Source organism: Homo sapiens, chromosome 11 (genome assembly GCF_000001405.40).
Source record: "Homo sapiens chromosome 11, GRCh38.p14 Primary Assembly".
Taxonomy (NCBI): Eukaryota; Metazoa; Chordata; class Mammalia; order Primates; family Hominidae; genus Homo; species Homo sapiens.
The window spans coordinates 76,401,752-76,414,914 of NC_000011.10; the positions used below are offsets into that span (position 1 = coordinate 76,401,752).

Genomic DNA, 13,163 nt, shown 5'->3' on the forward strand with positions numbered 1-13,163 from the left:
GACAAAAGCGAAACTCTGTCTCAAAAAAAAAAAAAAAAAAGAAAGAAAGAAAAGAAAAGAAAGAATTTATCTCAATGGGTGCCTGCATCTAAAGGTAAAGTAAATTCAAACTCCCCATCTTGCATGTGGCAGAGACTGGGGTTTCTATTTCTTGTAAATGCTATTTATTACCCCACCCACAGCCTCTTCAAAGATCAATCTTTCTTGCAACTTCTCTAACGCCAGGATACAGCTTTTCCAGTCTCCTTTTCATGGAAGAAGCCCAGCTTCCAATCTCAGGGCTTTATCTCAGTTCCAACTTGCTCACCTGGCAGAAACTTAAGCCCTATCTCCTACTCCTTAGTGTGCAGTGAAACCCTAGCCCACAGCCCTCAGGATCTATATCTGAGTCTGAGGTCCCTGTGTGTTGCCTAGGCACTGGCTGTACCCTGTCCTGCCTTTGAGCTCCCTTTTCATTTCTGATGTCTAGAAATTTCTCTTTATATTTTTCAAATTCAGCGATAAAAAATAACATTTTTAGGCTGGGCATGGTGGCTAACGCCTGTAATCCCAGCACTTTGGGAGGCTGAGGTGGGTGGATCACGTGTGGTTAGGAGTTTGAGACCAGCCTGGACAACATGGTGAAGCCCTGTCTCTACTAAAAATACAAAAATTAGCTGGGTGTGGTGGTGCGTGCCTGTAATCCTAGCTACTCAGGAGGCTGAGCCAGGAGAATCACTTGAACCCAGGAGGCAGAGGTTGCAGTGAGTCCTGATTGTGCCCCTGCACTCCACCCTGGATGACAGAGCGAGACTCTGTCTCAAAAAAAAAAAAAAGATTTGCATTATAATTCATCCAGCACCTCCATGTGTCTATAGCAAGGAGTGCGATGTGAGACCCATCTTCATTAGTGTAGCTGATCATGTTTCTGGAAGTTGCCAGATGAGAAACAATAATTCTGTCAAGTATACACTTATTTTTCTTAATATAATTTAATTTTTTTTTTGAGAAAGGGTATCATTCTGTCACCCCAGCTGGAGTGCAGTGGTGCAATCACCCAGGCTCAATTGATCCTCCAGCCTCAGAACCTCCCCAGTAGTTGGGACTACAGGCACACACCACCACACCCGACTAATTTTTGTATTTTTTTGTAGAGATAGAATTTTGTCATGCTGCCTAGGCTGGAGGTAGACATTTATTAATTTGTTTGTTTGTTTATTTATTTATTTATTTTTGAGACAGAGTCTTACTCTGTCGCCCAGGCTGGAGTGCAGTGGCGCAATCTCGGCTCATTGCAACCTCTACCTCCCGGGTTCAAGCGATTCTCCTGCCTCAGCCTCCTGAGTAGCTGGGATTACAGGGGCACGCCACCACACCCGGCTAATTTTTGTATTTTTAGTAGAGACAGGGTTTCACCATGTTGGACAAGCTGGTCTGGAACTCCTGACCTCATGATCCGCCTGCCTCAGCCTCCCAAAGTGCTGGGATTACAGGCGTGAGCCACCACTCCCGGCCTTGGAGGTAGACATTATCTCCTGTATTAGTCAAGGTTCTCCAGAGAAACAGGACCAATAGGAGATGTATGTAAATAGATTTATTCTTTCGTATAATTTATTGTGATTATGGAGGCTGAGAAGTCCTAAGAACTGCCATTTGCAAGCTGGAGCCCAGGAAAGCCAATGGTGTCATTCTAGTCCAAGCCCAAAGACGAAGACCTGAGAACTAGAGTTTAGTGGGTTTTGTTGTTTGTTTGTTTAGAAACAGGATATTGTTCTGGCACCCATGCTGGAGTATAGTGGCACGATTTTAGCTCACTGCAGGCTTGCATTCCTGGGCTCAAGCAGTCCTCCCACCTCAGCCTCCTGAGTAGGTGGAACTACAAGCATGTGCCACCATGCCCAAATAATTTTTTATTTTTATTTTTTGTAGAGACGGAACCTCACTATGTTGCCCAGGCTGGTCTCGAACTCCTTGTCTCAAGGGATCCTCCCACCTTGGCCTCCCAAAGCTCTGGGATTATCAGCATGAGCCACCATGCCAAGCCAAAACCAGGAGTTCAATGGTGTAAATTCCAGTCTGAGTCCACAGGCCGAAGAGCGAGGAGTGCTGATGTACAAGGGCAGGAGAAGATGGATGTCACAGCTCAAGAAGCGAGAACAAATTTGCCCTTCTATCTTTTTGTTCTATTCAGGTCCTCAATGAATTGGATGATGTCCATGCACATTAGGGAGGGCTGCCTCTTCATTACTCGGTCTACCAATTCAAATGCTAATCTCTTCCGGAAACATCCCCACAGACACACCCAGAAATAATGTTTTCCCATCTATCTCAGTACCCCATGATCCAGTCAAGTGAACATATAAAATTGGCTGTCACATCTCCATTTTGTTTATTTATTTACTTATTTATTTTAGACTAGTTAAGTTCAGTAGTGAGAAAGAGGGAAGGAATAGAACGAGGAGTTCAATCTGTGACTGACAGTGAACAATTGATTGAGATAACTCACTACCTTTGGACCAGCCATCTCCATTTTATAAATAAGAAAACTGAAGCTCAGAAAGGTTGTCTAAACTGCCAAAGCCATAGAACTTTAAGTGCGGAAATAGGTTTTGTGTTCAATCTGCTTCTCTATAAAATCCCATACAGGACATCCAGGCATCTAAAAGGTAGCTCAGTATCTCTGCCTTCTCTCCATTGTTAGCCTTGATGGACAATTTTTGCTGGAGCAAATATTCTGAAAAAGATTCCTCCTGTTTCCTATGGGAGTAGACAGCAAGCAGGTGAAGCCGGGCTCTCTTGAGCCTGGGACCCCCCGGTAGGAGCATTTGGCTGGAAAGATGTGGAAGTCAATAAGCATTTCCTCCACCACCCAGAAGCATCTCCAAGCTCAGGCAGGAGGTGGGCAGTGAAGGGGAATACCAAGCATCCTGCACATCAGGTAGAAGGAGGAAGCCCAGGCCATGGCAGGACTTACCTGTTGAGTCCTGCTGGGTTTGGGCAATGTCTCAGCAGAGACTGGCATACTCTCAGGCTTTTCACTTCCTTCCTTAGACTGGGGGCGCCTCTTGCCCTGTGCATCTTGCACAAAGCCTGGTCCTGAGTAGGTGCCCTGCAAAGGTGCAGGGGATCAATGGGGGTGACTGAGTCTAACTGAAGAAAAAGAAGGCATTTCAAGTCTCTATAGGTTGGGGACTTTAATGAGTGTAAATAGCTACCCTTTATTGAGCATTGTTTATGTGTGGACACTTTTTATGCATGTATATTGGAATATTTTTAGCTGTAAGTAATGATAACTAACAGTGACTTAAATAAGTAGTTATTTTCTGGCATAATAAGAATTCCAAAGGTGCTCCTTTGGTCTTTCCATCTTGGTTACAAGATGGCTGTGACACCCTGCCCTCACCTCCAAGTTCAAGGCAGGCAGGGGTTGGGAGGTGCGGACAGTTCAGACTCAGCAGTCCTGTTTCATCAGGAAAGCAAAAGCTCTCCCAGTAACTCCCAGCAGAGTTCTACTAAATCTCATTGGCCCAAGGGAGCTGCAGTGGTAGGTAACAAGGAGCAAATGGCTTTTGGGTAGCCAGTCAACAGGGTCTGCCATGTGCATAGAAAGCACAGTATGTATTTGGCATGGAGTCGGTACTCAATAAGCATTAGCTATTTGGCGTGCCTGTGTGTGTTTGTGTGTCTGCGTGTGGTTATATGTATATTTTCCATTTTCCCAAACAGTCCTTGGAAGTAGCATCCTCCTTTACTAATGGGACCTAACACACAGCTGGCAAAAGGCACAGTTAGAGCCACACATCAGACTCATTTCTTTCTGACTGAAGTCTGAGGGCTCTTTCCATTGCCATGCTATGTTCCACCCTCCCCTTCAACTGCCCCTCTAAAGTCTTGTCTTGGAGTCACATGAGGTCCAAGTGGGCTTGATGAAGAAAGAATAGGGAAGGAGATCAGATCAGTACTGTTGTCCAGGCTGGAGCGCAGTTGATTGTAGCTCACTGCAGCCTCCAACTCCATGGCTCAAGTGATCCTCCTGCCTCAGCCTTCCAAGTAGCTAGGACAACAGGTGCGTGCTACCATGCATGGCTAATTAATTAAAAGAATTTTTTTTGGTAGAGACAGGGTCTCACTATGTTGCCCAGGCTGGTCTTGAACTCCTGGGCTCCAGTGATCCTCCCCCTTCAGCCTCCCAAAGTGCTAGAATTACAGGCATTAGCCACCATGCCTGGCCTGGAGATCAGTTCTTTTTTACTTTTTTTTGAGACAGGCTCTCCCTATGTCACCGAGGCTACAGTGCAGTGGTTCAATCGCAGCTCACTGTAGCCTCTATCTCCTGGGCTCAAGTGATCCTCCCACCTCAGCCTCCTGAGTAGCTGGGACTAGAGGCATGTATCACCATGCCCAGCTAATTTTTGCATTTTTTGTAGAGTCAGGGTTTCACCCTGTTGCCCACTCTGGTCTCAAACTCCTGGGCTCAACCAATCTGCCCACCTAGGCCTCCCAAAATGCTGGGACTATAGGTGTGAGCCACTGCACCTGGCCTGGAGCTCAGTTCTGAAATAAGTTGACACCTGTCCCTGGGGCTATCCACAGAGTAACGATGAAGTCATGAGAGGAGGTTCAATAACTGTGTGCTAGAGTCATACCTCCACCTGAGTGCAGCCACTTTGGAATGGTCAGGCTAGAAGGTTCAGCCTTTATTCTGATGATGCCACTACTGCCCAGAACTCCTCTGGGACTCTTTGCAAGTTGCAAAAGACCTCAATCTCATTACTGTAATATTGCACCTCATTTCTGACCCCAAACCCAGCTGCAGCTTCTCATCTCACGAATTTCAAGTGACTTTTGACTATTGCCAAAAATCAAAAATCATTCCCTGAAAACAGAATCTATTGTAATTTAGATGCAAAAGAATGTGTTGTCTGCTTTGCAGCCAATTTTCAAATAAAAAAGAAATGTTTAAAGCAGTGGAAGCACTGTTTAAATAAATATGCCGGGCCAGGCGTGGTGGCTCACGCCTGTAATCCCAGCACTTTAGGAGGCCAAGGCGGGTCGATCACGAAGTCAGGAGATCGAGACCAACCTGGCTAACACAGTGAAACCCCGTCTCTACCAAAAATACAAAAAATTAGCTGGGAGTGGTGGCGGGTGCCTGTAGTCCCAGCTATTTGGGAGGCTGAGGCAGGAGAATGGCAAGAACCTGGGAGGCGGAGCTTGCAGTGAGCCAAGGTCACACCACTGCACTCCAGCCTGGGCTACAGAGCGAGACTCTGTCTCAAAAAATAAATAAAATAAAATAAAATAAATAAATAAATAAATATGCCCTCCCAGGTTGACATCTTGGAAGAGGATAACTCTAAGTTTGGTTGTATAATTTCTGCTGTGTTTAAGAAAAATTACTTAACTTGTGAGACATTATGAAAAGGATGCTGGACTTGGTAAAGATACAAATGGGCTTATAATGTTGGTCAGGTGAGACATGTTGCATTGGTGAAATTATAAATTGATATTGTTTTCTCAGAGCAATTTCGCAATGAGCATCACGAAGCTTTAAAGAGTTTAAACCACACCGGTCACAGTGGTTCACGCCTGTAATCCCAATACTTTGGGAGGCCGAGGTGGGCAGATCACAAGTCAGGAGCTAGAGACCAGCCTGGTCAACATGGTGAAACCCCTTCTCTACTAAAAATACAAAAATTAGCTGGGTGTGGTGGTGCATGCCTGTAATCCCAGCTACTCGGGAGGCTGAGGCAGGAGCATCGCTTGAACCTGGGAGGTGGAGGTTGCAGTGAGCTGAGATCGCACCACTGCACTCCAGCCTGGGCGGCAGAGCAAGACTCCCTCTCAAAAAAAAAAAAAAAAAAAAAAAAAAAGAATTTAAGCCAGTTGACCTAGGAATCTTCTAGGACGATTTCTTAGGAATCTTTCTTAGGAAAACAGTCAGAGATGCAGACAAAGATTTATGTAACAGCCATTCATTGCAGACTTATTTGTAAAAGTAGTAAAAAGAAGGAAATAACCCAAATGTCCCACAATGGAGAAATTGTTAAGAAAATTACAGCATACTCATTAAGTGAAATAATGCAGCTATTTAAGATGATGTTTTTAAAGAACTGTCAATGATGTTTGAAGATGTTCACAATAAGATAGGTGATAAAACAGACTATAAAACCACATGCATTATATAGTCCCATTTTTACTTTCTGTATGCTAAAACAAACCCCTCAAGATAGATCCAAAACATTACCAGTGGTTTGATCTGGGTGATGAAATTATAAGTGATTTTAAACTTGCTTCATTATGCTTTTATATATATAATTTTTCTTATTATAACAATAAATATTACTTTTGTAGTTAGAAAATATGTATAATGAACATTAAAATTACTTGTTAAGAAAGAAAGAAATGTGTTTTACTGGGAGAAAAGAGATCTGCCCCCAGGGTTCTGAGGGTTTAGTGGAGGAAATGAGACACGTACACAGATACGCTTATTACAAGGCAGTAAGAGCTATCACGGAGGTTTTATCAAGTGTGGAGGAAAGGATTAGCTCTGCCTGGGAGAGTTGAAGGTTAGTGAAAAGAGGTAACATTTGTTCGGGCCTTGAAGGATGAATAGGGGTCCTCTAGGGCTTTGTAAACTGTGAAGCACTATCTAAGTGTAAGTTAGTCTTTGACTTTTATGATTACTGTCAAGGCTTACCTCATATAAAGCTCTCTTTCTTGTCTCTTTCCCATGCTCCCTGAAGCCCAGGATCCCTGGGACAGGAAGCAGCAGCAGTTAAACAGTCACACATCAGTGCTCCAGCAAGTGAACTGAGGTGCATCCAACTAAGGAGCAGATCCAGGACCAGAGGAAATAAAATTATCTGGGAGCAGGGCCAGGAAGGTGCTGGTGGGTAAACAGTTCCCCCTTATTTGCCACCCTGTGGTAAGGCTGGCTTTGCTTGAGGCCTCCACCCTGAGATTTGGGGCCATCTCCATCTGGGGGATGGTAAAACCTGCGAACGAGCATCACACAGCAGTCTATGATTTACATTGGCAGGAAATGGTGTGTCAGATGTCCTTACAGCCTCCAGACAGGGTGGAGTGGAAAGGAGGGGTGTGAGTGAGGGGATCAGGAAGGGTGACAAGAGATGATTTGTACGGGAGAAATTCTTAGAGAAGCTCAAGATTGGAAGGGACTTAAAAGTTCTGTGATTTAATCCTCCCAATCCCCTTCCTAGCATCTCTATCACATTGTCATTCTTCCCGGGTGCAGCTCAGAGGCCATCTCTTCTATTACCTTCCACTTCAGTTCCTCTGGCCTATGCTTCAGGCATTTCCCATTATTTAATTTTACGAAAGAAAATTCAGTGTCCGCTGCATGCCAGGCACTGTGCTTAGAATAGGTCCTCAATTGCAGTATGCCCTCCTGTGCCTCCTGTTGTTTATTTATTTATTTATGCAACGAATGTACACCGAATGCCTATTATATGCCAGGTAATGTTCTAGATGTTGTAACAGAGTGGAGGAAAATACAGCCAGGATCTCAGGCTCTCACGGACCTGTCATTCTAGTAGGAGAGATATAAAATAAACAAATGAAAAAATAAAATATTGGGTTATAAATGTCAAGAAGGAGCCAGCTTTGGAAAATTTAGGGGAAGAACTTTCTATACAAAGAGAACAGCTAGTTCCAAGATCCTATGGGGGTAACTCCTGTTTGCTCTAGGAACAAAAGGAAGGAAACTGTGGCCTTGTGCATGGAAAATGCTTTCTTCTTTATCTGTAAATGAAAATATTCTTATGTGTCAGGATGTAGTTCAAGCATTGCCTCTTTAGGGAAATCTATCCTGATTTCTCAGGTAGAAGTGACCACTATCTCCTTTCCTCCTCACCGCCCCTGAGTAGACTTCTGTGAGCACACCTGTGACACTTTGCCATTCTTACCACATTAAATCATTGTGACTTCCTAGTGGACCTCAGTCTCATTCAAGGGCAGGACTGAGCTTCCTAACTAAATCCCTAATGTTCAGGATAGAACCTGGCACAGAGTCTGTGATCAGTAATGGTTTGTTCCTAGAATACTGAACTGTCACCCAGCACCCTATCAGAGCCTCACTAGTGATGCTTATTTGGAATTGAAAACAATTTATTGATCAGTGCCAGGCCCTGTGCTGGGTACTTTCCACCCTGCTCATTCTTATAAGTCTCACAGTCAACATGTCCAGTAAGTATCACTATTTTATTCTATAACTAAAACTCAGGCCAGACTCAGTGGCTCATGCCTGTAATTCCAGCACTTTGGGAGGCTGAGGCAGGAGGATCACTTGAACCCAGGAGTTCAAGACCAGCCTGGGCAACAGAGTAAGACCCCATCTCTACAAAAAAATAAGAAAAACTGGGTATGGTAGTGCACACCTGTAGCCCTAGCTAGTCGGGAGGCTGAGATGGGAGGATCACTTGAGCCCAGGAAATGGAGGCTGCAGTAAGCTGTGATTACACCACTGCACTCCAGCCTCCCAAAGAGGGAGAAAGTTAGAGAATTAAAGTGATTATCTGAGGTGGCTCAGTAAGAAGAAACAGAACTAAGATTTGAACCCAAGTCCTCTTGATGTCAAATCCCAATGGTTCCTCTTCTATGTGATGTGACTCATGATGCATTAGTTCATCTGTCCTCTCTTTTCTCCTATATAATCATTTTCCTGGGAAAAGGGTCTGTTTTGTTTTTTTTTTTACTTCATTCTACTATATTCCTTATGACACCAGAACAGTGCTTTGTATTTAGTACACAGTCAATACATATGTCTTAAATCTCCAAGAGGTAGAAAAGAAAGAATGAATGTGTGAATGAATGCTTCACCCAAAGTGAATCAGTCTCTGATAACAGTTCATAGGATGGTGATGGGCTGGAGAGAGGCGTTTCTGAGGGGAGGCGCCTTCCCAGATACCTCCAGGTGTCGATTCCAGGAGGGCCTGGAGAGAGCTGAGGATGCTGTCTCTGTGCTAAAGCACTTGTTTCTTAGAAATCACACCTTTTGCTCAGCTGCACATCTCGGCAGGCAGGCAGGGCAGAGGGGAACATGCATGGCTTCCAATGAGTTGGGAAAATGAGGTTAGGTTTCAATTCAGATACTTATTTGTGTTTTCTAGGTCTGCACGGTCGATGCATTTTCAACGAGCAGTGATTCTGTTCCTCATCTTTCATTGCTTTATGGGACTTCAGGGAATGAAAGCATAACATCCTGCTTTCCCATAAGTTCTCTGGCTGCTACACTGGCACCAATTAAAGACATGTCTATGCAATTAATCAAAACCAATTTGGAAGCACTCTGGTGCTGCTCCTCTGATGTGCTGCCTGCTCCACATACAGTAGTTCCTCAGCTGCGGTGATGGAGCCAGGCACATAGGAGCTTTTGATGAACTGGCTGTACTGGCCCCAAGTGTTAACTATGTCATCTGACATGACTAATGAGGCTCCGGACTTGATCCGCGTGAGCGGAGCAGCCCTGCTGTCTGGAGGAGGCTCAGTTTCCACAGCCAGCCTGGGAAGAGGCTGCAACGTGCAGGGTACACACTGCATCATGTCAGCTGGAGTCCTAGAGGCCTCTAGCGTTGGAGCTGGGAGTCATCCATGGAGAGGGTGATGGAAACTGTGGGCCAGGCTCTGTGTTGGGCGCCAGTGTGAATGTGACCCAATTTAAACTTCTAGCTCAGCCTCCTCATTTTAGACCTGAAAATCAAGACCCAGCAAAAGTGTGAGGCTTGCCAAAGACCTGAACTTTGGAGAGAGAAATGATGGAGAAAGCAGGGTCTCTGCCCTAGATGAGAGGTAAATATGTATGAGGGTAACAACTGGGGCCTGGTGCAAGTATACTTCATCAAGGGTTAACCATAGGCTTCCTTTCTTCCTTCTGCAAACCTTTATCAAGGGGAAGGGTTGCTTGTGCCCTTGTCACCTCAGCAATTCCAAGAGCATGGAATTTGGAGTCAACAGATCTGTGTTTGAGTCCCAGCCCTACTTTGAGTTGATGTAATCTTGCAAATCACTTCATTTTTCTGAGCCTTGGTTTCCTCAGCTGTAACATTGGAATAGGCCATATACTGCCCAGCCAGCCTACCTCCATGAGCCCTTCTGTGACTCAACTGAGTTAATGGGTGTGAAAGTGTAAGTAAGAGCCTCTGCACGTGTTAGTTATTATTCCAGTTTTCATCCCCCTAAGGAGCACTGGCTGAAATCTCTGGAATATGGATCCACAGATAGCTTTAACTCTCTTCCTCTTCCTGCCTCTTTCAAATGGACATAAAAACCAATTGGTCATCCGCCTAAAATCTCAACAGCTTTCCCAGAGAGCCCATGCATAGAAAGAGGAAGAACTCAACCGTTGTAAATTAATGTCATTCCATACATTGATTGAGCACCTACCACATGCCAGACATTGTGTGAGGGATCGGAGTTGGATAAGACATGTTTCTTGGCCACCTTGAGAAGCTCACCATTTAGTAGGAGAAACAGAGCTGGGCATAAATAACTATAATGTACTGCAGACAAATGCAATTGCCATAGGAAAGATACAAATCAAGTGTTTTGGGAGCCAGAGGATGGAGTGATTCATTCCCCAAAAGGAGACTGGAAAAAGGTTCATCAACGAAGTGGTACTGAAGGATGGGCAGGGCTTAGCTCTGTCAGGAAGAACGAGGCAGGGCACTCCAGACAGAGAGACCAGCATAGGCAAATGTATGAAATCTGGAAAGGAATGGTGATCTAAAGGACAGAATAAAATCAAGTAAGGTATTGGGAGTGAGCATGAATCAAAGAAAAATCACTGCACCCCAACTCTGAAACTCAGGCATAAATGTTGCTGTTTCACTGTTCTCTTTGCTGGCTGAGGTCACCTTGGCCTCTGTCCCTCAGTCAGAGAAAATCCCACACTGGCCCTTCCTCCAGCAAAGCCAAACCCAAGCCCCAGCCAGCAGAAGCAAAAACAAATGAACAGGGATCAACAATACCATTAGATGCAAAAATTCTTGAGCTGGGAAGGCCAGGTCACAGCCATACCTCCCCAGCCAGGGTAACAGCTTGATCAGATGTGGCAATGACACCAACCCTGGAGCACGATGGCAAGGAACTTAACTTAAGCCTCTTGGCATGGGTCACAGGCTACATTTTTCTCCTTCCCCCCTCATCCAAAAGAAGCTAGCTTCTTCTTTATGAGTGCTGCTGTCAGAATGGCTTTGGAAAGCCTAGAGCTGCAGCTGAACTCAAGGCATGGCCATGGGCCACCCCAGGGACTTGTATTTTCTCAGTCTTTCTATCTTTCGTTGCGAATTTTTTTTATTGTGCAAATAATACAGTGTTAAGAACGGAAACTTCAAGAAGAGAAAGAGGAAAGAGAGCATCCACTCACATGTCATCTGTTTCCATTTCTCCTTGCCCTTTCCTGCTGTTGTCCATGAGCATAATTTTTTGGCCGCTTTTATTACTGATACAACTACGTATTCTGTTTTTATTGCTTAGCCTTGTATCATACAAGGCTACTTATTGCCAGCCCCTGGTGTCCACACTGGCTTGGCATTGTTCTCCCAAGACTGAAAAAATATGCCAGGTGTCATGTAAAGGGACTTTCCGCAGATAACATGATCGCCATTGACAACTGGCATCATGTGGCAGAGGAAAAGCTTCGACCGCTCTGCCATCATGTTGACTTGGGTTGGAATCTCAGCTCCTCTACTTCGAAGCTAGATGGCCCTGGGCAGATCATTCCATCTCTTTGAGCCACAGTTCCTCATCTATAAGATGGGGATGGCATTAGTACCATCTTATGATACTAATGGGATCACAGTGAGAATTAAGTGAGATACCAAAAGGGGAATGCTCAATAAAGAGCAGCTCTCCTTCCCAACCCTTGAGGGGCTGACCTAGACACCACTCTGCTTTTTCCTCTCTTGCCCACATTTGGCCACCTCCCCTCCCCTGGACCCAGCAGGCCCCCTGGGTGAGCCCACCTAAATTATGACAGGCATACCAGTCTGCATATTTATTATTCACTGGGTGAATTTGCTATCTTTTACTTAAGTATTTTCCTCTGATGAAACTTTTGTTTTTGTCCAGTTTTTCACTATTTCCAATAATGATGCAAAAAAAAATACCAGTGTGTGCCGCTCACCCTATGCTTTAAAAATTGTATTTTCTCAGAAACAATCCCCAGGAGTAGGATCACTGAGATAGAGGATAGAAACATTTTCAAGGTTTCTGATGTGTATTTCCAAATTGCTTTTCAGATTTGTACCTGTTATGCTGCCACCAATTTGAGGGAGGGAACCACTTAGGCTACATTGGAGGCCGCTGGGCCCTGGTCACAAACTTCTGTCTCTGCTTTATTTCTACCATTGTCTTCTCTTAACATGGCTCCTGAACTTCTCACTCTATGGGACAATTCATTGTTTGTCCCCAAAATGATGCTCCCATACTTTTGTGCCTTTGTACTTCCTATTAGTCTTCACCACCCTTGCCCAAGAATATTCTTCCTTTAAGATACCCTCTCACCTTAGAGCTCAACCTTTGTGGAACTGGGAACTTCTATACTCTCTTCAAGACCCAGTTCAAACACCCCTCTCTCCGTGAACCAGTTCCAATCCCCCCAAGCAGAGTTCGTCACTTTTGTTATAAGTGGTACCTGGAGGAACCCTTGGCATCCAAGTGTTCACCAAGAGTCAGCCATCCCCTAACCTCAGCTACAGGCCCCAGTTTTCGTGATTCTCTCTTCTCTTTTCCTCTCTCACTCTTTGCACCAGGCAATCTCACCAGGTTTTCCCAACTCATGTCCTAAATATTCTTAGATCCACTTATCTTTGCCTCATGGTCATTGCCAGAGCTATCACCTCTCCAGGATTCCTGCAATGGTCCCCACAAAAAAAAAAAAAAAAAAAGAGTAATATGTACATGGTTCAAAAGCCAAAATAGTCTCAAGGCTTATTATAAGAAACAGTAGATTCCTGCCCTAATCCTGCCTACCCCCAGCCTTACTCCTCAGAGACAACTAGCCACTTTCAGCTATTTCTTTTGGTATTTACTTCCATTTGCCAAATAAGATACCTATACTGCAGTTTCTTGATTTTAAGTTCAGGCATTATCTTTTTAAAATTTTTTTAAATTTTGTTTATTAGTTTTATTACAGACCTAGTCCTTTTTTTTTTCTTTTAAGG

The 13,163-nt window shown here is 44.5% G+C and overlaps 1 protein-coding gene across 4 annotated transcripts in view; it reads left to right on the forward strand.

Moving 5' to 3' along the window:
* Nucleotides 1-12,883, forward strand: part of GVQW3 (GVQW motif containing 3) — a 33,312-nt gene extending 20,429 nt beyond the window's left edge. For 2 of the 4 annotated variants that reach the window (NM_001347885.2, NM_001282456.4), the window contains exon 2: nt 1,909-6,381. In NM_001347885.2, the coding sequence (NP_001334814.1) occupies nt 1,909-2,007 (99 nt within the window). In that variant the 3' untranslated portion in view covers nt 2,008-6,381. Of the gene's footprint in view, nt 1-1,908; nt 6,382-6,725; nt 6,872-9,110 lie in introns of those variants that run through there. The other 2 variants (NR_130990.3, NM_001347884.2) reach the window with 2 other exon arrangements.
* The last annotated feature ends 280 nt before the right edge of the window (nt 12,884-13,163 follow it).